This window comes from Homo sapiens, chromosome 14 (assembly GCF_000001405.40).
Source record: "Homo sapiens chromosome 14, GRCh38.p14 Primary Assembly".
Lineage (NCBI taxonomy): Eukaryota > Metazoa > Chordata > Mammalia > Primates > Hominidae > Homo > Homo sapiens.
The window spans coordinates 97,001,339-97,027,196 of record NC_000014.9 but is presented as its reverse complement, the minus strand read 5'-3'; the positions used below and the strand labels follow the sequence as shown (position 1 = coordinate 97,027,196).

Genomic DNA, 25,858 nt, shown 5'->3' with positions numbered 1-25,858 from the left:
AAACCTACATGGCATAGTTCCAAGGTCCTTGAGCAAAGAATGATTTGTACATGGGTGGAAAAGAACTCAGAAGAAGCCTTTGTGACCCCTGAAAATTATAGGAAATTCCTATTGCTGTGTCCATCAATAAGGTCTGACGGGAACACAGTCCACATGTTCATTCCTATACCATCCAGGACAGCTGTTGCCATATAGCGGCAGAGATGGGTAGGAAAAGGGGAGAGCAGGTTGCCAGACAAGCAGGGCCTAGCACTCCACTGGGCCCACCAGACACAGTGCCTCAGGCCTCAGTTACTTTTAGGGGCTCACAAAAATGTTTTAATTCTAATTTACTTTAAAATAGGAAGAAAAACATGAATATAATAATAAGAAATCCAACCTAGGCTATCTTTGTCTTTATTGTAAATAGACAAAATATTGTAAAAATTGTATAATATGTTGTAATATTTTTTATATTTTCTTACCAAGAAAGGGACTCAAGAAGGTAAAAGTGCCAAGGACCCACAAAAGTCAAGACGTGGCCCTGCCGCAAAGCCTGGTGTTTACTCTCTGGCCCTTACAGAAGGAAGGACTAGTAGATCAAGTCCTGGCTGGGAACCAGGAAATCAAAGTGCTTGCCCATTACTGATGTGCTGGCTGACGTTGAATAATCCGCTGGTCTTCCCTGCACTTCTGGGATTCCCTCCCTGCTCCACCAACTTTCTGGCAGTGTGACCCTGGACCAGAGACTTGCTCTCTCTGAGCATTCCAGAAAACATGGATGATGACAGCCCCACTTTGTAGGGTTAGTATAAGGTGGGGTAACCTTATGACCCACAGCACTCAGCCCAGGGGACTTGGCACTTAAAAAGCAGTTCATTCTACAAGGCCAAGAAGCAGGATGAGCCCCTGCTATTTGGAGGACACGGTGCCAGACCCCACTTCCCTTTGGTAAGCCTGTCTTGCAAAGGGATCAGGCCTGGGAAGTCTTTACACGTAAGGAGAGGCCCTGGAAGTCCCAAAATCGCTCTACAGGTTCAAGGGGACTCCGGCAGGTGAGAGGAGCCCTCCCAGGGGCCTCGCCTTGCACTGTCGCCCACCCTGTGGCACCTCTGCCTTGGACACCAGTGGGTCTTTCTGCATCTGGAAACTGCCGCCTGGTAATCTCTACATAACCTTTGCAACGTGCCTGCATATTTCACCCTTCCTAGGCGAGCACTCCCATTTTTTTTGTCATTGCAATTTCATTTCCTGGGCTGTGTGGACTGCGGGCTCAGCAGTCGCTCCGGTCTGAAGTGACTCCTGGGACCTCCTCACTGTTCTATATGCAAATGGCCTTGCACCTGGGCAGCCGAGCGGGCTCGCAGACAGTTTAGTTATGCAAATCTGATTGATCGAGAGCATATTGCAGGAGCGCGCGCGCAGACCTGGGACACTGGCAGCTATATTTCACCGGCTAAATTCCCGAAGAAGGGGGAAAATATTAAATGCCAGGCATTTTGATGCATATTCCCTTTCAACCCCTGTAGTGCAATAGTGTTTATTTCTGAATGTGTTCAACACTCGGGTTAGACGTTGCTAATGCAATTTTTGCGTGCAGGGTGTGTTATTGCTGAATTAACAGAAGGCTTGTTTTCAGTGTAAAAAGCCAGTTGTTGTGATGTCACAAGCACAATAGGTCTGTCAGTTGATTTGAAATAATTCCCCAGGCAAATGCACTAACGGCAGTGTTAAAAAATAATTAGGTCCTTCGGCCTCTAAATGTTCACCCAAGTGGAGGGAGTAACGTTAAGTTCCTCTGACTTTATTCTCTTCTACAACAAAAGGTAAAATAAACCGCAGGGACACTGATTACATATTGTCATCTTATGTTGAAGGCATTTGTCTATTTCCCAAACACAGGGTTTGAAGAGGGAAGATGGAGTAGCAGTAGCAGCTACCGCCTTGGAGGAAATAAGTTTTTTAAAAAAGAACCTCAAATCTACTTGAATCTGCTTAAAATAATAAATTCCACATCAGACACGTTGCATTCATGCATGTTGAAGTCTGTAATTCCAGAGGCTTGGGAAGCCTGGCTCATCCCGCTATTCTGCATTGTCCTTATTGATTTATAATCATTGATAAATAAGATCCACCTACATGGCAGACTATAGCTGCAGAAGGGAAACAGAAAGATATTTTTGCCAGCATCTTTCTCTACAACCCCACTACCCATGGATCAAAATTAAAAATAAATCAATGTCATGCGGGAGAAGGGATGGTGACGAGAGAGTGGTAGAAAGAGAGAAAGAGTAAACATTGTCTGGTATCTCAACCGTTAAAAATGGGGTTACAAAAAGCAGGTCTTGAAAAGTACAGAGCCTTAAGAGAAGAGATGGCAGGGCATGCAACTTGGTTCAGGAGTTACACTGATTGCAAAACGACATTATAGTCAAAGTTAGCAAATACATGCAGTCATTCACTCATTCATTGATGTCAATTACATTACCCTTTGCATATGGCCTTGGACGGTATTAGTGTAGCTATCTGCATGGAGCTATCTCAGGTGGACACATCCTATGCACGTGAATATTTGCCCCCAAAACACCTGTCTTTAGCTACAAAGGAAAGGGAAGGAGTGAGATTTAAAAGAGTACTTATGGACAGAATTTGCCACAAGTGACACAGCACGAATCCTTTGTTTGCCCCGAATTCCTTCTTTCTCACTGCCTTGCACACACACACACATATGCATATGTGTGCACACGTGCACAATAGCACAATACACAGCTGCCTTGTACACACACACGGACACATGCATGGCCTCATACGTTCACATGCACATCTGCATACACCATGCAAACATACATACATGCACATATGCACACACATGCAAGCGCACACATACACTCTTGCAACTACATGTATACACATGTATACACATGCCTGAGTGCACGCACACATGCACAGGTATACACATTCATGCACACACACATACTTTTTTTAAAAAAAAACAGCCATCTGACAGGCAAAGCCCAGCCTCAGGGTCAAAAATGAAGACCCTAGGAAAGGTCAAGTTTAATCTCTCCCCACCACGGCCCAGCGCACCCCTCCCACCGCTGACTAACAAAAGGGCCTCAGCACTTTGACTGACAGAATTCTTAATTGTATCCACTCATTCATGACAATTTGATTAAAATATTACGCCAAAGTCTCACCCCCTGTTTGCTTCGATCCTCCAAATCTAATTTTGAATTTTCAGAAAGGAGATTACCTCCACAAGCATGACTGGGATGCTATTAACTTCTACTTAATCTTTATTACTGATGTGAATTTAACATATGTACAGCTTCGCTCTGCTCCTGTTGTTTTCCTCTCAAAAGTAACGTCTAGGCAATATACAAGCAGCGGGCATTAATTTTCACTTTGATATTCTGTCAGAGTCCAGCTCCCACTTGTCTGTGAAGAAGAAGAGGCGTCCCTCAGTCTGGGGCCCTGATTAGGACATGGAACCTCCACCTTCCGCTCCTCCCTAAGGCATACCTGCAGGGAGAAGCTTTGGGACTCCAGGTTGTGCAAATGCGGAGGTGCGAGGCTGGCTGTCCTCCTCTCTCTGCCGCAGCAGCAATCAGCAGATTCTAATCAGCCTCACCCTCAGAGAGGCTCACACAGAAGAGACCAGCAGGTCTAGAACCCTCCAGGCTGCCCACTGTCCTACCCCGTGCCTCAGAATCACATCTGAGACAGAGCCCATCACAAAATAAAGGCAAATCAACAAATCGGCAAACTAAGAATAAGAACCTGGACATTAAGGCTTTGTGTTTTCAGGGATTTCTCTATTTTCCATGTTTGTAGGTTTATCCTTTTTCTTGATTTTTCTCTCTTCACACATGGCATGTGAGGGTATGTAATCAAGGGATGTGTAAGCATAGGAAAGTCGGAATCGTGGCCTCCAAAGTATTGACAGCAGTTGCTTCACCCTGGGTGGGGAGCTGGAAGCAAAGGTCACAGCAGGTGCAGGGAGCTCCTTCTGTTGTGTTTCTCACTATCTGTTATGGCTTGAATTGTGTACCCTCCCCCCACCCCCGCAAAATTCATATGTTGAACCCCCAGTACCTCAGAATGTGACCCTTTTTACAGATAGGGTCTTTCTGGAAGTAATTAAGTTAAAATGGGTCACTAGGATGGGCCCTAATCCAATACGAGTGGTGTCCTTATAACAAGGGAACATTGGACCAGACACACACACTCAGGGAGCACTGCATGTGAAGATCCGAGTCTGTGGCCACAAGCCAAGGAGGGAGGTACAGGGGAGGGAGGTCTGGAACAGAGCCTTCCCTAGTGCCTTCAGAGGGAGCATGGCCCACAGATCCCTTGATCTTGGACTTCTAGCCTCCAGCACCGTGAGAATAAGTTTCTATGTTTAAGCCACTTCACTTAAGCTTTGTAATGGCAGCCCTAGTACACTAATACACTCTCCATTCCTATATTTCTTGAATCAGGTATCATAGTATTGCTTTGGAAAATTTTTAAAAATAAGTGTACATTTTTTGAGTCCCATAAATTACAACACTGTCTTACTGTGTAGAAACAAAGCCTCACCTCCCTTTCCTCCTTCCCTCTTATCTCCTCTAGGGCTCCCACTGACCAAACCCAACCAAAACCAGACAGCAAGGGAAGCCCCTTGATGAAGTTCATGAGAAATTTCACACAGGTTGGTTCCTGGGGCACTGAGCAGGGGGAGAAGGGTAGACAGGGGGTCTGCAGGAGCAACAGGAAGACGTAGGAGAATTTAATCTTGAGAGTGACCTGGACCATCTGTCCATTTAAAAAAAATCACTTTGACACTTAGTCAAGAGCAGATCATTCTGTTATGGGACACCGAGGAGATGGGCTGCAGCTCTGGGTCTATGATCCGATCAGAAAGAAGGTGAGAAGGAGAGAGAGTCTACCCCCACTTTAAAAGGAGCAATTTGCATTTGGCTAATGTGGGTTCTGTGTTCCTGTTACATACAGAATTACCCATTACATATTTGTGGATTCAAAAATATTTATCCATTCCAATGAGCACAGTGGGACAGCATCTGTAGTACTCCCTGCTCACACCACAGATCCTATCATTTAAAAGGGCACTGACTATTCCCCAGTCCTCAAAATACTGGGGCAGTTTGTCCTACAGTCTCAGTCTCTCTGCCTTCATAGGTGGACACATGTCTCTCACAATAAAAACTACATTTCCCAGCCTTCCTTGCTGCTCAGGATGGCCATGTGACTAAGGAATGGAGGTGAGGCTTGCAATCTATATGTCCCACCTCTAGGAATAAGGGAGTTTATCTCTTCCCCTTTCCTGTGGACTAGCACGTAGACATGGGAGTGGACTAAGAGAGGGCCAGCAACAAAACAGGGGGAGCTTAGGACCTGACATCATGCAGCCATCATGCCAGCCCTGAACTGATTTTGCCGAGCCTGAGAGAAATAAACCTCTCTTCTGTCTGAGCTATCAGTATATTAGCTCTCTGCAAACAGAAAGTCAGCTTATATCCTAATTAACTCATGCTCCCATTGCCTTGCCTCTGTTTCTTTGCAAATACATTCCAGCAGCCTGGTAAAACCATGGTTCATCCTTCAGCGACTGGGTCAGATGTGCCTCCTCTGTGAAGTCTTCTATATTGGACAGCTTAAGCTAAGCAACATGCAGTAACAAGCAGTCCCAAATCTCAGTGGCTTATAACCATAAAAATTCATTCTGAGCTGAAGCAGCAGCCACCAGCTGGGATAGGTGGGGTCTTAGCAGAGGGAAAGGAGCCCAGGGAGGTCTTCTTTTCTTTTTTTTTTTTTAATTCCTTTTTTGAGATGAAGTGTTACTCTGTTGCCCAGGCTGGAGTGCAGTGGGTCAATCTCGGCTCACTGCAACCTCCAACTTCCAGAGCCCAGGGAAGTCTTAAAGTTCCTTTCTAGCTGGGCACACGGCAATCCATCTCCCACATCAGCGGTCAAAGCAGGCCACATGACCACATTTGATGTCAATGGGAAGTGTAATCTTATCACCAGAACAAGAGCACAGTCTGCCACAACTTCCTCTACTGCCTGTGTGCTTTCCCTGTCACTGCATCTACCACGGGCCAACCATTGTGCAAGGCACTACTTACCTTTGTTGGAACTTCCCAGCCCCCCAAAAAACATTGGTGTTTGAATATTTGGGGAAAATGGAGTACAATTAGAATACTTAATTCAAGATGTTATTCCCCAAATCATACATAGCCCAGACGCCTTCCAAGAGCTCCTTCCCTACAAGGTGAGGGTGTTAGACATCTCTGAATTCCCAGAAACTGCACAGAGCCTAGAACAAAGGAGTCACTCTGGAAACGCTTGTTAGATAAATGGCTGAATGAATTGTTGTGAGAGTTCATTCATTCATTCTTTCATCAAACACAGGCGGGCCGGATGTGGTGGCTCACACCTGTAATCCCAGCACTTTGGGAGGCCAAGGCAGGTGGGTCACATGAGGCCAGGAGTTCAAGACCAGCCTGGCTGACATGGAAAAACCCCATCTCTCCTATAAAAGTAATAAATAAATAAAACACACTTGAGCCCCCACCATGTGCCAGGCTCTGGGTGCTTATCCCTGATAGTTCTCTCACATAATCAGGGCCCAGGAGGGACCAGGAAACTTCTGGAAAGAAAAATCGAAGATGTTGTTCCCAAGATCAGTCATAGCCCAGCTCCACATGTGAGGAGTGAATTCACCAAAACACCTTCAACACTGCTAGAAGCAACAACAACCAAAAACAACAGAAAAGTCAAGTTTTGTTTGTTTTTAATAGTACTTCTTGTTTTCTATGCCTGTGCTCTGCAAGAGACACTGCTGGCAAGGGCCTTTTAATAGACTTTGAAGAAAATCTGTTTACAACATTCATCTCAAAATTAAAAGAATATAAAATGTTTCCTTATTTCCTGCTTCATGGTCTTTTTCCACTTAGCAAACATTTTATTTATTCTGGTCCTGTTTTCAATGGGGCTGAAACTAGGAGCATTTGATTAGCTCATGGGGCCATCTCATGGATAAAGAAAATGTGGTATATTTACACAAGGAAATACTATTCATCCATTAAAAAGAAGAAAATCTTGGCATTTGCTACAACATGGATGAAGTGGGAGGACATTATGTTAAGTGAAATAAGCCAGGCACAGAAAGATAAATTCTGCATGATCCCACTCATATGTGTGAGCCAAACAAGTTGATCTCACAGAAGTAGAGAACAGAACAGTGGTTACCAGAGACTTTGGAGGGGAGAAGATGGGGAGATGGGGAGAAATTGGTCGAGAGGTACAAAGTTGCAAATTAAGAGGATAAGTCCTGGTGTTCTGTTGCTCATTAGGGTGACTACAGTACCCCTGTAGAATAATGTATTGCATATTTCAAAATAGCTAGAAGACATTTTGTGTTCACAGCACAAGGAAATGATAAATGTTTGAGGTGTTGGATATGCTACTTACCCTGATTTGATTATTGCATATGGTATGCATGTATTGAAACATCGCATTGTGCTCCATAAATATGTACAATTATTAGGTATGAATTTAAACCTTTTGTTAAAAAATGAGCCAGCTGCTGGGAGTCAGCAGGACAGGGTTTGTCCTTTGGCTCTGGGCATGGAATGGAGCAGCTCAGGACTTCTGGGCAGCCCAGCCTGAGAGATCTGGTGGGACCATCTGCAGAACACGCCTTAACCCCAGGGAGACATCCAAAAATCCAAAATATTTAGCAACTGGCAGACAGGATGAAGATCAAGCAGAATGAGCCCTGGCGTTGTGCCAGAGCTGACCCCCAGTGCCCCTTCCCCTCGTCAGGCATTAACCCTTTAGTTGCTAAGTCAAGGGGATTCCCCAGGCGGGTTCCAGGGCAGCCAAGGGAGCTATCACAGCATAGCTATCTTCCAAACAGTAAAGAAGTACTTCAACACCTAACAACACATAAGCTGTGCCAGGGCCTTCCAGGGGATAGAAGCCTGCCTTCCCCCAAGACGTCACCAACGCTGAGATAGATAGGTGAGAACTCAGAGTTGTCTATTACACACCCGGAGGTCCTTGTGGTCTTGGGCACGTGTATCAGTTTTCTAGGGCCACTGTTACAGATTCCCATAAACCTGATGGCTTCAAGCAACACAAGTTTATCCTCTTGTATACAGTTCTGGAGGTCAGAATTTCAAAATCGGTTTCCCTGGCCTAAAGTCCAGGTGTCTTCAGGGCTGGTTCCTTCTGGAAGTTCTAGGGGGAATGTGTTTCCTTGCCTTTTCAAGCTTCTAGAGACTGCCCGCATTCCTGCACTTGCATTGCTTCAACTTCTGTCATCACATCACCTCTCCCCTGTGTGCCCAATGTCCCTCAGTTTCCCTCTATAAAACCTCTTATGATGACCTTGGACCCCTCTGGATATTTCAGGATCATCTCCCCATCTCAAGATCCTTAACCAAATCACCCCTATGCCATATTAGGTAACAATCCCAAGTTCCAAAAATTAGGACCTGGATATCCAGAGGGGGAAGCGGGGCTGTTTTTCAGCCTCCCACAGCAAGACAGTAAGAGTCTCTGGGTTCATGTTCCTGCCTCAGGGCCTTTGCACTCTCTCTGTCAGTAAAGCTCTTCCACCAAATATCAGCCTGCTTTACTCTCTCAGTTCATTAAGGTCTCACTCAAATGCATCTCTTTGGAGAGGCATTCCTTGAGCACCTCGTCTAGAACTGCCACCTTTCCCAGTGAGGCATCTCTTTATCTCCTTACTCTTGTTGTGGTCTTCACAGCACTGATTGGTACCTCACAAATCAGGCGACACTGTTTCCTACCCATTTTCTTCACTAGAACATGAGCCCACGGGGCAGAGATTTGGCTGCCTTGTTGATGGCTGTAGCCACGGTGATTAGAACAGTAATAGGCTTATAGTAGAAATTCAATAGATATTTGTTGAGTTAATCTAACATGAGGATAATTATAAAAAACAACCTTGTAGACTTTCTGTAAGGATCAAAAGAGATGGTAAATATAAAAAAGCTTTATAAACAATAGAGTTCTGAATGACATAGCTCAGCAAACTTTTTTTGAGTGTCTGTTATGTGCTCGATGCTGGGACATAGAATTAAAAAGAGAAAAGTCTCTAGCGCTAGTGGAGCCTAAAGTCAAGGGCAGAAAGAGAACAGAGACAGACACTCAATAGCCATGTGTCTCAGTATGTAATTATAAAGTATAATGTCAGCAATGGGTGGATTACCTATTGATGCACATAAAAACACCCCAAAACTGAGCGATTTACAATAACAACAACCATTTTGTTATATCTCATGGTTTTGTGGGTGAGCAATTTGGGCAGGGCTCAGCTGGGCAACTCTTCTGTTCTGTGTGGCATCAACTGGGATTACTGGATGGTATTCAGCAAGCAGCTGGATGGAGTGGAACAACCAAAACAACTTTACTCACAGGCCTGGTACCTTGGCAGGGATGGCTGGAAGGTTGAACCCAACTGGGTCCCTCTTCTTTTCATCTCATGGTCTCTCTACATGGTCTACTCAGGGCTCCAGAAGACCACAGTGGAAGCTTCTAGTCCTCTGGAATTCCAGGCTTAGAACTGGCACAGTGCCATTTCTACCATACTCTACTGGTTAAAGCAATCACAGACTGGCCCAGATTCAGCAGAAGAGAAGTTGACTCCTCTTCACAGCAGGAGCAGTGTCAGAGAACAGCAACCACACTTAGCCCACCACAAACATCATAAAGGAAAAGTACTGGGTATACATGTAACCAAGGAGCTGGGTTTCCATCAGGGAGATGAGGTAGGTGTTTCTGGGGTATATGTGTAGAAGCTGAGCAGGAGAATGAGGTGGGAGGGAGGGTGTTCCTGACAGAAGGAAACTGTAACTGCAAAGAAGAAACTGTAGCAGAAAACAGCTTGGCCAGTGTGAGGAACTAGAAAATGCCTGGGGGCAGGGGTGGGAAGGGGCAGGAGATCCGGGCAAGAGCTAGACCACAGAATCCTGCTTGTAAGTTTCCGAACCCACTCTGTGTCTCAGTCGCTCCATCATTAAAAGGGTGGTAATAATTTTAACCAACTTCATAATGTTAGCCCATGTCAAGAACTTAGAATAGAGCCTGCCTTATTGTAGGCATACTCAATAAGTGATTAACTGTAAATTATTACCTGCATTCTTCTCAAAGATTACACTGGCTGCAGCAATGTGGGAAAGGTAGCAGAGAAGGTCGCGGTCTGCTGCTGCCATCCCTGACCTGTTGCTGTCTCATTCTTGCTTCCTGCTCTTTGAGCCTCTGGCCAGCTCCCTCAAACTGATGTTTTGGGGATCCCTGTCTGTTTGGCTTATCACCTGGAGTTCAGACATAGAAGATCCTTACTTCTTTCCTCCACATGCGTTATCTTGAATCTCCCCAGGAGCAATTTACGCTGAGGTTTAGGAAAGGTCAGTACTTGTTCAAGTTCACGAAGCTATAAACCTGAAATGGGCCTGTCTGACCTCAGAGTCCTACTTCTCCGCCCAGACACAGTACCAGAGCCCTGTCTGGGTGCATTACCAGTAGCTGGTGGCTGAGCAAGTCCTACCGCACGTGAACTCAGCCCCAGCTTCCAAGACCTTTGCCCAAATTTAAGGCCTGCCCAGGCAGGGGGGAAAATCAGGGATTCAGGACACCCACAGTATAGAAATTATGATCATCAGCTCTGGAGAAAGAAGAGGAGAATGAGGAGGAACTTCTATGGCTGAAACTCAGGCCATGGCCCCAGGCCTGGAAGAATCTGCAGGCTCATTAAAGGTGCATAAAACAGTATCCAGCTTTTTAGCTGGGCACAGGCCTACAAGCACCAACGCCTGCCAGCTTCAGGCAGCCCTCGCCTGTAAACCCAGCATCAAGCTCACTGTGGTCTTTTGTGAAGCAGAGTGCATTATCAGATGTTCTCTTCCAACATGAGACATAAATGCTGGGTAGTGTCTCATTGGGCTGCTTTGAGAACTCCCCTATTTCTCCCTGTTTCTCAGTTAGGGTATAAACAGGCAATGGAGACACAGTAGAGGTTTTTGAGCTAATGGCAGCTGATAGGGCAAAACACTCAGGGTTTGGGGAGTATACCAGCTCGATAACCATCAGCAAGCGATTTACCCTTTGAGAGCCTCAGTGCCTTCATCAGGAAAGTGGAGATAGAAAACCTCCTTCCCTATATTGCTGCCATGAGGATTAGCAATAACTGATAGTGCTGACCCTACGAAATCCATTTTTTTTTGAGACAAAGTCTCACTCTGTTGCCCAGGCTGAGTATAGTGGTGCTGTCATGCTCACTGAAACCTCCACCTCCTGGGTTCAAGTGATTCTCCTGCCTCAGCCTCCCGAGTAGCTGGGATTACAGGTGGCCACCACCATGCCTGGCTAATTTTTGTATTTTAGTAGAGACAGGGTTTCACCATGTTGACCAGGCTGTTCTTGAACTCCTGACCTCAAGGGATCCACCTGCCTCAACCTCCCAAAGTGCTGGGATTACAGGGGTGAGCCACCACACCCAGCCAAGAAATCAATAATCTGTAGCTGTGGCAAGTGTATTGTTATCACTGCCTTGTGGGTGCCTAAAGAAATAGGTGGCACTTCATGTGTTTTCCTTCTATTACATTAAGTATTTTTGTACCCACTCACCCGTATGACTTTTCTGAACGTGTCACTTGTTCTGACTCCTTTGTATCAGAAGTTTCTTTTGTGTGTCCTTCCTAGGATTCTTCCATCACCACCTGGAGTGGTGCCTTGGTTCCAAAGACCCGGCAGGCACTCATGTACCACATCACAGACCGCCTGCATCTGCAGTTGACTTAATTAATTCTCCCTCAAAACCACCAGAAGTAGGCAGGAAAAGAGTTATTAGCCCCATTTTGCAGATGAGAAAACTGAGAAGCAAAAGGAAAAAAAAAAAAACAAGCATGGTTCAGGTCTCATAGCTAGTAAATGACCAGGATTTGAACATAGATTTTATCACTCTCAACTGAAGCAGTGGATATGTTTGCATAAGATGTGCTTTCTACATTTAATGAAAAGCATACATTTTGGGTTGAGTAATCACATTTCAGCATAACATAAAATGTCAAATGAAATGGTAGAGAATTAAACCATCCTAAAATTATTCCAAAGGTGTAGCTACTTAAGAAAGACATTCTTTTTATCCTATAACAATTCTGTAAGTTTTATTGAGATATAACTTATATACCATAAAATGTGCCTGTTTTAAGCATAAAATTGAACATTTTTAGTATATTTACAGAGTTGTGCAACCATCACCTCCATCTAATTATAGAACATTGACAGACAGTGCTGGTAGGATGTGTCAAGATCGGTTGAAAATGCTCTTTTAGAAGGGAGCTTAGCAATATGTATCGAAGCTTAATGCTACTCATGACAAAATGTAAACTTCTCAACATAAAAAGTTCTGCTGAAGTTAAAACGTTATATGCACTAGGTTGTGCGTTTTAGAATTTATCATCACTGAAAATTGAAAAGATTCTAAATTCTGCCAAATCTAGAAATATTTGCCTAGATGATGTCACTTCCTCCTCACAGAATATTCTATCACTAACAGTCATGGTTATCATATAACCCAGGTCTATGTTAAGATTTCTAGGATGCAAGGTGGCAAATAAAGCTTTTGATAAATGGAAAACAATAAAAATTCAATATAACCCACTAGAACATAACATTCAAAAATGAAAATATTTAGTAGAGGGTGTAGAATCTTGATTACGAATTTTGTCCTCAATTTTCATGCATTCATTCAGTAGGTTGTTGTTTAAAGTCTACCGAGGATGGCTGTGGTCACCCAGGGTGCTGGCCCCCATGGGCCTTGCTCTAGACGCGGCTCCCTCCCTACCCTTCCTTGTCCTTGTACCTTCCCTTCCTAGGTAACTTGGGGTTTCACTTGGGGTTTCGACTAGGTAACTTAGGGTTTCAATGACTATATCTGCATTCTATAGGACAGAAAGAGCCATGAACAACAGCTGGCCAGAAAACCGAAGGAATAAAATAAGTGTCCAGTGAAAATGAAAAAAAAAAAAGTTATTGGGTCCGATGCTACACAAAGAATGAGAACCAGATCCACGCACGCAAGCTCCCCACACACACATCTGGCACCCTCTTACGGATGCTGTCATTGTGTGAGCGGTAATGCTCAGCTTTCAATGTGAGGTATGTCGAATGGTTTGTGGTTATTTTAAGCAGTAGCATTTTTTTTTTTTGCCAGTTCATAAATTTCTTCTATTGTCAATTAAGTGACAAGCCAACATAGATTTCAGGCCACTAGGGTCCTCCTGCATTGTCCCAGGCCTGGGCATAGTGAGAGGAGGTATGACCACCTTCTGTGTACAAAAGAGAAAACATGCAGTGTCCCTCAGCACTAGCTCATCACTGGTCCCAGACAGGCCTGCCTGGGTGACAGCCATTGTGGATTCCGCCAAATGCAAGACTCGACTATCATAGTCCACAGCAGAGACAAAGACCAGGGGAAGACCCAGCCATGTTCCTTCTGTAAGCAGCTGAAAAAGGATGGCAGTCGACCTGCCCAGCAATGTTCTCAGGAACACACAACCTCATCCAACACAATTCCCAAGGAGCTGCCTTCTACCTAGTTTTGGAGAAGGAAGATGACAACTTGGAAAAGAAATCCCCTATGCATAGAAGGAGGGAGCTGCCATGATGAAAATGAAATGCCGGCTGCACTTGAGTGTCCTGTGATTCATTTGATTTTTCGGAAAGTATATATTGAGACCTAAAATGTTCTCTCCAGCCTCCTAATAGGTGTAAAGAAACATAAGAAAGTCTTTCGGTTTCATTCTTCTCTTTAGTGGTGCCCCAAGTTGACACACTCTCTCATTTATCTTTCTGCATATGTGCCCCGAGGATCTGGGAGGTGTGCCACCTGTGCCAAGTGTTAGGGACACAGGGTTGAGTAAGACACCATCCATGGTGTAAACAGAGGGCAAGCGGGCTTTCATAGAAAAGACAGAAGTCTTCGGCATGCCAAGATTATCCACTGATTACAGAGGAGATTGAAGAAGACTAGGGCTTGTCCTGGGGTCACTCAACTTCTCCCTCCACCAACCTGAGCATTTTAGCCAGATACCAATTATTTCAAACTCAACCTTGTCTGCCAAGATGAGTTGTAGACTCCCTTCAGGGAGGAACAAGGGTTTCTTTTCTATCTCTACTAATCTGAAGCACCCACTGGGGAGAAAATAGGTGCTCAATAGAAACTGCAGTGGGCCTGGCATGGCAGCTTACACCTGTAATCCCAGCACTTTAGGATTCTGAGTTAAGAGGATAGTTTGAGTCCAGGAGTTCCAGACTAGCCTGGGCAACGCAACATGACCCTGTCTTTGCAAATAAAATAAAGTATAAAATAACATAAAATAAAATAAAATAAAAAGTTTAGCCTGGCTTTGTGACACATGCCTGTAATCCCAGCTACTTGGGAGGCTGAGATGGGAGGATTCCTTGAGCCCAGGAGATGGAGGCTGCAATGATCTATGATTGCACCACTGCACTCCAGCCTGGGCAACAGAGAGAGACTCTGTCTCAAATAATTACCTAAATATTTGTAACGCTGCAGCGATTTGCTGAGTAGTGGCATTTATGCCAGCATCAGATGGTTTTCTCGGAGACCCACTCTTATTTGCTGAGAGGAGAGAGTGTATGCAGCGGCCTTGCTTTGAGACTTTGTTGCAAGCTCTGTCCACATTCAAAAGAAAAGTTGCCCAATGAGGAGAGCGTGGTTCTTTCATTTGGGGAAGTATTCAGTTCTGTGTTCTCCCCCTGGTTGATCTTCATTCCCTTAGCTCATCCCTCACATTCCTTTAAATGGAATGTCACCTCATGCTTTTCTGCCCACTAATTTGTCATCAGGGATAGTCCAGGCTGGGCAGTTCTTGGTGAGCCCATGGTGGAAGATAAATACCCCTTTCAGCAATATTCCTGGGAATTTCATCGTGGGGGGCTTTGTCCTGATTCTGATGAAGGAACCTGCTGAGGAATAGTTGAGGGCTGAACCCAGGAGCTGAAGAAACTCCAGAAGTAAGATAAGCATTTTCCTTTATTGCTCCAGTGGACAAAACCAGACAAGAATTATAATAGGTCCAATTAAGGTTCCAACAAATGGAACTCTCTAATGTTTAGAAAAAAGGAATGAGCTACTTTGTGTAGAATAGAACTCCCCAAGAAGGAAAAAAGTCTGCAAGCAGAACCTAGATAGCTCTCTGTCTGAGGCATTCACTCATTCCATAAGGAATTACTGTGCACTCCACATGCCTGGCACTGTAGCAGGTGCTCCCAATGCAGTAGAGACTTCTATTTCAATGAAGCTTGTATGACAGTGAGTGAGGTGGCCAACCTATCAATAAACGAGGAAGTGGCCCAAGAGTACTCACACTCAGATGTATAAACACAGCCACGTTGCTCAGAAGCACTGGCTGGGCACTGCACAGCTATGAACCATACTCAGTGGTCCCATTCTCAGCTTGCCGGGTAGCAAAGGCACTGTGAATGCATTGAAAGCAAACTGCTTTAAAACTAAATGTAATCCAAATTCAACAAGTTCATCAGTTCTTTGAGGTGTAATTTGGCTAATTGTTCAGTGTTTCAGATTCCTCTCATCCTCCCCTTCACAATCCAGGGACAGGAAGAGAGATGCGGGCATTTTGGCAGGTGCATCTCCTGAAGCCATCACATCTAGTTCCATCTTTGAGCATTTTGTTGGATTTTGCTGCTGACATCTAAGGCTGGTGGACTGTGGTCTTTCTCAGCTGGGTCAGAACCTGATGTCTCCACCAGCCGTCCTCTGCTGTCTCAGCCTCCCATTGGGCTCTTTCTGGAACTGCACATACCCAGGAGAGCCTGCCACTGCCACTCTGCCCTGGGCCTTTGCACAATCACTTTGCTCCTGCCACTGCAGGCCTAGTGGCCGACCCACTTACTCCTTACATCTTCCTGCCATTACACATTGGTGTGCTCAGAGTCTAGCCTCACCTACGTTGTTGTCGTTCTATTCAATGCACACTTCCTGGTGGCCTCACCTGACTCCACCTGCCGTCTATCAGATAACGCCTTCCAGATCAAAATCTGAACAAGAATCCTCTTCTGACCTCCAACTCGGGCACTAAATGCCTCTGGTACTCATAGTCCTAGCAGACATCTCCGACACCTGTCCCTGAAGTTGAAAGCTCCCCCTTCCCTCCAAGCCTGCTCACCAGTGCCCCCTGCCTTCGTGAATAGTGCCATTCACTCAGTTGCCCAAGTTCTCCTTTTAGGGTGCCCCCTCTCCCACATCCCACACATCCCAGTCATGAAGTCCTGTAAATTCTGCCATGTTTATTTATCTTGGATCTATCTCACCTTAGACATTGCTTTGTCCAAGAAGTGTTCTTTCCCTGGTGCACCAAGCAGGGCTGAATGTTCTGTGTCTACAGCATTTCTGTGCTCCTATGTAGGTGTACCCTTGACTCAACCGTGAGCTGGATGGGGGCAGGAACAAATCTCACCAGCTCATCTCAGTGCTTGCTACCCACATTTGGGCAGGGAGGGTGCTCAAGTCAACGCATATTTGTCAAATGACTGAAGACAATGAACGAGCAAATCTGTGTCAGTAATTCACAGGTCAGTGGGCTTTCTACTCAACCTTGATAAAAAAAAATCAGAATGTGTGAGTGCCATTAATGGCCTGTTTGCATCAAAAATCCTCACCAACGATCTTTCTTCTACGGGAACATTTGGTATTGTCTCCATGTAAAAAGTTCCCCTGAGACAGGAGAGTTTGCGGAGGGACAGAGGAGCTACATGGGAACTCTTTGTACTTTCTGCTCAATTCACAAACCAAAAACTGCTCTACCAAATAAATTAAGTCTATACAATTTTTTAACAGTTACTTCAAGGACAAGAACAATTAACTGAATACTTCAACATTCATCCCCTTCTGTGTACACTGTCCTTTCAAGACATTTCTGTAACGAAGGAAAATCAGCCTGGTGGATTTGAATTCCTTCTCTCTTGGCCTCAGTTCTTCATGCAGAGATCAAACCAGGACTAGCCCAAGGGTCAGTAATGCAAACCATTCAAGCCTTTCCATCTTGAAGACCTCAAACACATTGGTGCCACCCTAGAAAATAGCAGAAGTGTTTCCCACCCCTACCAAAATGGCTTTCATACCATGAAGGTCTCTCCTCTCAGGAAGCTGTTGCAGAATTTTGGACTGAGTCCCTGACCTTGGCTGTTCTTAAACATGGAACCTGGAATTCTTGGGTACTGGTTCAGAAGCGACTCTATGCTGTGGTTGGTCAGCAGCCCTCCAAGAACCTCCATGTGACCATCGTGGTGAGAGATGCTGGAGGCAGAAGTGAATCGTGCTGTATCCCTGCCCTCGCTTGAGTCAAACTAATAATTACATTGCTCTCTGTACAGGACCTCACAAAGCTCAAACCAGGAGAGAGAGATTAGCTCTGCTGGGTGGAGGAGGGGAAGAAACAGTGGCCCCCTCATCCATGCAAGCACTGCAGCTTTGCAAAGTGCCTTGGCACATTGGAACCACCTTCCAGCCTTATAACAAAGTTTGTTCATTTTCCTTGGGGAATCCCTGGTGCCACACATATCTTCTCTGTAAGACTCAAGGGAAGCTCTGAGAGTCCTCGCACCTCACTCAGATGGGTGGTTTGGAGGAAAGGAATCTTGGCTGTTGTTTCCCATCTGTAAAATGATGAGACTGATCTGGAGTTAACAGAAAGTTTAGACATCCCTTCACAACTTCACTTCCAAGCATCTCGCATTCAATGGCTATAAACCCCTAAACCCCTGGGTGAGTGCAAGAGAATGCTGGATGTGGTGGATTGGTCCCAAACATTTTCCAGAGATTCTGAATATAGAAAAACCCTTTTCTTCTATTTCTGGTTATTTCCCCCCAAAATTCTGACCCATCTGGCATTGACCCATGTAGGGAACTCTTTCTCTCAGCTGAAGCAGGCTTCACGCCATGGAAATGGGAATATTTCCCATGACTACATCATACTGTGATTTTTCAGGGAAAAAAATGCTCCTGCATGCCTCTTCCCAGAACTGGATTACCCGATAGATAAACTGAGCAGGCAACTGAGCATCCACTGAACAGGAGCACCCTCCCTACCCAAAAAAAATGAGAAAAAATTGTTTAGGAAGAACTTCATACTTGATATTTGCCTCCAAAATTATCAAAGTAAATCTCTGAGGATAAATCAGGACTTACTGACATTTTTTACCCTTATTTTATGTATTTATTTTTTGCATTTAATTATATATGAAAGGGTGGAGAGGAGCCATCATCATCTTTTTGATGTATAAGGCCTCGAACGTTTTTTTCTCAGATCCTACAATGATCATGCTTTAAATAGGAGGCAAAGAAGCATTTGAAAGATTCAGGGCATCTTGGGGGTGCAGAGGGAGGTGTGCGCTGAGCCCAGAGAAGGCAAGGGTGGCTGGAGGCAGTGGCTGGTGGGAGAGCAGGCCTGGGGACAGCTCCATAGCTAATCTGTGAGGCAGTGCAGCCCAGTAGTTAAGCAGGTGGATGGGCACTGGGTTCAAATCCTGGCTCCATCACTGGCCGGATGGGTGACATCGGGCAAGGGACTTGGCCTCATCATACCTTACTCTCCCCATCTCATAGAATTGTTGGGAGGAGTAAATGCAGGCAAGGTGAAGGGAAAGTGACACACAGGCAGGAGGATGAGGGAGGGAGGAAGGAAGGGCCCCAAACAACTTCCAGGTTCCTGCCTGGGGTGGGTGAATCCACTTTGGGGCCACTCAAGCCCTGAGTGGGATTCTTCTACAGGGACACACTCCAGTCTTTGGAGAGCTACTTGGGATCCATGGTTGCCTTCAGCCCTGTGGGGTTAACCGTGGGCACCCCAGTGAGTTGTCTTCCCCTCTGTACTAGCTAATATTCCCTACCCTGCCCTGCACCCTGGAGGCTCCCTCATGGGACTACCCCCTGCCCACTGGCTTCTGGTGGGGCTTCGCCAATGGGAGGCACCAGCAGGCTGCAGGTGGCAGTAACTCTATTCTCCTACCAGTCACTGCACTTGCCCCTTGAGGCTGGTGATGGAGGGTTAGTGCCAGCCCCTGATTAGGGATAAGAGCTCCCAGCTGCCCCTGCTGCCAGTGTGCAGCTCCATCCCATGCTGGTTCCCTCCGCCTTTGTAAGTAGTCCCTCCATCGAGCTCTCCTTTCTGACCCTCTGTGATGGCCACATCTTGTTCTGCATAACTTTCCCTTTCTGCCCCCGATACCTCTTCCCCCTCCTCTCCTGGAGCTCCTTGCTATTCAACAGTAAGACCAGACCCCTGAGATCCCACCAGGGGCACTAAATCCGAAAGGAAAGCATGCGCGAAGGAGCCGTGATTAAACACCAAGGAGAAAGAAAAAACGGTCACATCCCAGATCCAGGAGACCCCGGGCCACAGCGCTGCGGGAGTTAGCACTCAGTGGCTATGGGAAGAGAAAGAACAGCTTTCCTGGGGGCTGCTCTGGGCCTGGGGTGCTCCTGTGGCCTCTGATCTCTCAGGGAGCCATGAAGGAGATTGGGCTGGAAAAGTCTCTCGGAGGCTCGCTGGGACCCTGAGGGGAAAAGGGCCTTAGGGTGGGTGAGTGGGCAGGATTTGGAGAAAGTTGCCCCTTGACTTACAGCAAGAAGTGGAAGGTAATTTCTTGGGTCCAGATGTAGTGTGGAGCCCCTAAGTATAGGGACTCTCCATCAGAAGGGGACAAATACTTCCCTTGGGGCAGGGCGCCATGAGATATGTATTAGTCCATTTTCACGCTGCTGATAAAGACATACCCAAGACTGGAAGAAAAAGAGGTTTAATTGGACTTACAGTTCCACATGGCTGGGGAAGCCTCAGAATCATGGCAGGAGGTGAAAGGCACTTCTTACATGGTGGCGGCAAGAGAAAATGGGGAAGATCCAGAAGTGGAAACCCCTGATAAAACCATCAGATCTCATGAGACTTATTCACTATCACAAGAACAGTATGGGGGAAACCGCCCCATGATTCAAATTATCTCCCACTGGATCCCTCCCACAACATGTGGGAATTATGGGAGTACAATTCAAGATGAGATTTGTGTGGGAACTCAGAGCCAAACGTTTATCAGATAAATTCCAGGGCAGTGCCTGTGAGTCCTCAGAGTGGTATTATGGCGGAGAATTATATATGCTTCGGAAGGGCATCTTGGAGTAAGGAAGGGTGGCCATGCCCCAAAGCCAAGCTGCTTTCCCATACCCCTGGCCTGGTAGGTCATTAAGTAGTCTTGCTCTCCCCCACCACCCTGGCGCTAACTGCTCCCCTTCTTTACTCCCCACAACCTTGCCCAGCCTTCCGGTCACCTCCCAGTAGCTGCTCTCTCTCCTTGGCAAATCTCACCATCTACCCCAGCCCTCACAGTCTGAGCCAGGTCTTTTCTGCCCCTGGAGCACCTTCCTACCAGGGTGATCCCAGAACGTGAACAAAAAGCCAGGCAGACTAGAACCAACCTGTTTGTAAATTCCACCACCAAAGGGCTAAAGTAAAGCCTTAAAAGCCCAAAATTGCTAAACTACCTCCAAAGAAGGACTCATTTGCTTCTGTATCCCTGGAAGGATCAGCCCATTATATTTAATAGACTTTGATACTTCGTATTGTAGTACATAAAGGCTATTATTAAAATGAAAGATTGTTACAGTGAAGGATCTGATCCTTGCTACTTTGCTTTTTAAAGCTATCTAAAGCAATTGGTATCAGGACTCCTTGCAAGCTTTTCTGATTATCTGTTGACACTGTCTCATAAGGAGTTTCTTTAAAGATTTAATTGACTTCATTTATTCCCTGGTCTGGGAAGGTGCCTGAGGCCTTGGGCCTTAGCTGCAGGAGGGGGAGATCGAGGAGGCCCTGCGATTAGAGCATGTCCTTATAAGCATATTTATGAAATAAGAGCAATGGCTTGCGCCTGGCAGCTTGGAATCTAACACTGTGCTGTATCTACCTTATTTGCAGGATTAGAAGCCATTAATTCCTGGAATTGTTCTCTGGAGTGTAAGTGACAACAGCTGTAGCTATCTGCTCAGTGTCTTTCCACATGGACTCCCCTGTACAAGGGACGCATGAATACACACAGCCAAATGGGGTGCTGCCGATTCCACGTGGGAGCAAAGACAGGCCTGCCACCAACTGACAGACAGACAGTCCCAAAGCAATCATCTGGACACTCGAGAAAATGGCCTTAGTCCTGATTCCCCTCTCTCTTACCCATTCTCAGGCAGGCACAGGCGGAGAGAGGGAGACTTTCCCATTTGCTCTGATTATGGAGAGGCCCTTTGAAAGTATCACTCTGTCCTCACAAAGGGCTAAGTTTCACGTTAATCCAAATCTAACCTCTCTCAGCCTCAATTTCCCCATCTGAAATGAGGAACTGGATTAGTCATCTCAAGGGGTCTTTCTGGCCTTTCAAATACAAAGCAAACTAACAGATAAAATCTCCTTTCCTCTATCATCAGGGCTGGGCTCAGTTAAAACTCAGAATGAAAAGTTGTCAGAGAAGAATTATAAATTTCTATTAAAATAGCAATTGTAAATGATTATTATGTTTAAGTAACATTGACTAGGTTTTTGATTAGATAAATTTAAAGAATAGAACAAAAATGTTATCCCCAACAACCAGATAACCCATGTTGGATATAAATACAGCAATGGGTGCATGGATGGATGGATGAATGGGAACTACAGTGCACATATCTTAAATTATTCAAATAGTCCAGAAAGGAATGAAATGAAATGCAAAAATCTCTCTCTCCATCCCTCCTGCAAACCTGACTCCTCATCTCCCCCTAAAGCTACACTTTGCTAACAGTTCCATGTGTATCTCACCAAGAAAACAACATTTTTTACACTGATACCAGCGTCTATACTAACATATGCTTACTCAAAAGGGAAACATAATATATTTGGCTTTCTGCAAAATTTTTCAAACATACAGAAAATAATATAACAGACATCCATGTATGTATCTTCCAGATTTAAGATATGTTTGCCTTATTTTATTTGCCTCAGATCCAAGAAGAAAGAAAGAAAGAAACTGAAGAAAGGGAGGGATGGATGGGGGAGGGAGAGAGGGAGAGAAGGAAGGAAGGAGGAAGGGAGGAAGGAAGGAAGAAAGGAAGGAAGGAAGGAACGGAAGGAAGGAAAGGAAGGAGGGAGGGAGGGAGGGGTGAACAACAGAGATACAGGTAAAACCCCCAAGTTCCATATCCTGTCCCCTCCCCAGAAGTAGCCACCATCTTGAAGTTTGGTATGTATGATTCTAATGAACATTTTTGTAATTGTGCTACATGGATTTATAGTCAAGAACAATATATTGTGATTTTGTGTATGTGGATTTCATGTTGCGTAAATAGAATGATATCAACTATATCTTCCTAGAATTTGCTTTTCTCAGTAAACATACTTATAATAATTCATTCATATTGATGTAAATAGATCTAAGACACTGTCTTAATCTACTATAACAAAAGTACCATACACTGGGTGGCTTAAACAACAAACATTTATTTCTCACAGTTCTGGAGGCCAGTAAGTTTAAGATCAAATTGTCTGGTGATTAAGGTGTTTGGTGATTCAGTGTCTGGTGAAGGCCTACTTCCTGGTTCATAAACAGCATCTTTGGGCTGTGTCCTCACATGGTGAAAGGGACAACAGGGCTCTCTGGGGTCTCCTCTATAAGAGCACTAATCCCATTCATTGAAGGCTCTACCCTCATGATCTTATCACTTCTCAAAGGCCTCACCTCCTAGTATCACCACCTTAGGGGTTAGGATTTCAACATATGAGTTGGGTGGGATACAAGCATTCATCCATAACAGATACTCATTTCAATTGCTTCATAATGTTCTGTTGTGTGACTAAACCATGGTTAGTTCATCCATTCACCACTGATGGATAGTTAGGATGTTTCCTGTTTTGATTTTTGTTTTTGTTTTTGCAATTAAAAACATAATGGGCCAGGCGTGGTGGCTCACAGCTGTAATCCCAGCACTTTGGGAGGCCGAGGTGGGTGGATCACTGACGTCAGGAGTTTCAGACCAGACTGGCCAACAGGGTGAAACCCCGTTTCTACTAAAAATACAAAAATTAGCTGGGCATGGTGGCAGGTGCCTGTAATCCCAGCTTCTCAGGAGGCTGAGGTAGGAGAATCGCTTGAACCTGAGAGGTGGAGGTTGCAGTGAGCTGAGATCACACCATTGCACTCCAGGCTAGGCAACAAGAGTGAAACTCCATCTCGAAAATAAATAAATAAATAAATGAATAATAAAAACATAATGATAAGTGTTAGAGCTCTTCTCTTATCATCTGCATCTATCTCATTTTTTAATCACTTAGAGAGAATTGTACTGAATGCATATGCCATAACTTATTTAACTTGTCTACTATTAATGATCAGCATATTAGTCCATTTTCATGCTGCTGATAAAGACATACCCAAGACTGGGCAATTTACAAAAGAATGAGGTTTATTGGACTTACAGTTCCACATGGCTGGGGAGGCCTCACAATCATGGCGGAAGGTGAAAGACACGTCTCATATGGTGGCAGACAAGAGAAGAGAGCTTGTGCAGGCAAACTCGTTTTTAAAGCCATCAGATCTCGTGAGACTCATTCACTATTACAGGACAGCACAGAAAAGACCCGCCCCCATAATTCAATCACCTCCCACTGGGTTACTCCCATGACATGTGGGAATTGTGGGAGTTACAATTCAAGATGAGAATTGGGTGGGGACACAGCCAAACCATATCAATCAGTTAGGTTGTTTTAAGGATTGTGTTCTTATAAACAATGCCCAAAGAAATATTCTTTTATCAGTTTTTGGGCATTCTTTTAAGGAAAATTTCTAACAATAGAATAACTGTGTCAATGAGCCCATACAATTAAAACCTTGATAGATCTAACAAAAGTATCCCCTGAAAAGTCCACAGCAAATCACATTCCCCACCAACAATGTTTGTTATTCTACAATACAGCCTGATGAACACTCTTTAATTTTGTCAACTTGATAGGTAAAAATAATATCCCAAATGACTTCCACATCATATCCAATTTCTTTTTTTCATTCCTCATTCATAAACTGGAGAAGAGTAGTGGTAGTATACTGTTTCTTCAGACAACTGTGGGCAAATTGTTTTGCAGATCTCATATTTAGGACTGCTCCAAGTCAAGCAAGAATCCAGACTGGGAGTAGGATTTCTCAGCCCACCCAAAGTACATCTCTCAGAAAGCTAGGCCCCTCAAATAGTTGACCCCAATTGTCACCATGATTTGTGGATGTATGGATGAGAGATTGATGAACAAATAGATGTGTAGATGAATGGATGGAAAGATGGATGGATAGGCGGATGAATAGATGGGTGGGTGTATGGATGGATGGAGGGATGGATGGACGGATGGACAGACGGATGGACGGACGGAGGGACAGACGGACGGATGGATGGATGGATGAATGGATGGATGGATGGATGGATGGATGGATGGATGGGAGAGAGATAGATGTGGTAGATTATTAAATAGGTTGATGAATGGATGGATGGATTAATGGATGGATAGGCAGGTAGATTAATTAATAGGTTGATGGATGGATGGATGGATGGATGAATGGATGGATGGATGGATGGGGGATGAATGGATAGGCTGGTGGGTGTATGGATGGATGGATGGGGGATGGATAAATGGGCGTAGATGAATGGATAGGTGGATGGATGGATGGATGGATGGATGGATGGATGGATGATAAATGAATGAATAAGGATTGAGGAAATATGGTTTCCATGGGCTAATTAGGCAAGAAGTGTAGCCTTAAGTGGTTATTTCCTTATATCTTGTTCAAGCCTATCCAACAGAGAGTCTAACACCTCCACTAAGGAGTTAGCTCCTCAATATTCTTGACTTTAAAAACTTTGCAGATTTGTTTTTGATCTCTATAAAGTAGCTTCCAGGCTGGGCATGGTGGCTCATGCCTGTAATCCCAGCACTTTGGGAGGCTGAGGTGGATGGATCACCTGAGGTCAGGAGTTTGAGACCAGCCTGGCCAACATAGTGAAACCCCATTTCTACTAAAAATACAAAAATTGGCCAGGTGCAGTGGTGTGCGCCTGTATTCCCAGATAGGAGGCTGAGGCAGGAGAATCGCTTGAACCCGGGAAGCAGAGGTTGCAGTGAGCTGAGATAGTGCCACTGCACTCCGGTCTGGGTGACAGAGTGAGACTCTGTCTCAAAAAAGAAAAAAAAAGTGCCATCCGGTCTCCAAAAGTCTTGAAGCAGCAAGAATTATGCAGGGAGTAATGAGCTGCATAAGGGTTCCCTGGGATCTGGGAAGGTGAGACCTAACCATGACCTTCTGGGGCAAGTTGTGGCTGCAAGTTAGACATAGGGTGGAGCCCTACAACAGTAGCAATATGGCAGGGGTAAAAAAGAGAACTTTGCCAACTGCATCTTTAAATTCTGAACCAACAATGTGAAATGTTACTTTGTCAGCTAAAGGTATTTGTAGAGAAAAGTTCAATTTCCCTATACTTTCCTATTGCTTTTTCAAAGACAGCTCATTCTCATGATTCCTTCTCAACTGGACTTTTGATGGGCCAACTTTCTCAGGTAGACACCATTCTAGAAGGGGCTTCGTGGGGCAACCACATAAAACACCAGCATTCTCACCTTTTCACAAGAGAACACGCATGAGCAAAATTAAGCCAGAAAAGCTTTGCCATGGAAGTGTCAGGGTTCCGCCACTACATCTGCCTGAGAGATCTGGCCACAAGTAAATTTCCAGATGATAGATC

At 45.0% G+C, this 25,858-nt stretch overlaps 1 long non-coding RNA gene across 1 annotated transcript, besides 2 other annotated features; it reads left to right on the top strand.

Moving 5' to 3' along the window:
- Positions 461 to 1,049: an enhancer, noted in NCBI's record as "H3K27ac-H3K4me1 hESC enhancer chr14:97492485-97493073 (GRCh37/hg19 assembly coordinates)". NCBI's record gives its function as "activates a minimal SCP1, AML or CMV promoter by ChIP-STARR-seq in primed H9 embryonic stem cells {active_cell/tissue: H9 hESC(primed)}" and the evidence as "EXISTENCE:reporter gene assay evidence [ECO:0000049][PMID:30033119]".
- Positions 1,050 to 1,639: an enhancer, noted in NCBI's record as "NANOG-H3K27ac-H3K4me1 hESC enhancer chr14:97491895-97492484 (GRCh37/hg19 assembly coordinates)". NCBI's record gives its function as "activates a minimal SCP1, AML or CMV promoter by ChIP-STARR-seq in naive and primed H9 embryonic stem cells {active_cell/tissue: H9 hESC(naive and primed)}" and the evidence as "EXISTENCE:reporter gene assay evidence [ECO:0000049][PMID:30033119]".
- On the top strand, positions 19,573 to 21,610 carry LOC124903376 (uncharacterized). Its single transcript, XR_007064324.1, has 2 exons — positions 19,573 to 19,696; positions 21,030 to 21,610. It is a non-coding gene; the product is annotated as an uncharacterized LOC124903376 (long non-coding RNA).
- Positions 21,611 to 25,858: the final 4,248 nt, after the last annotated feature.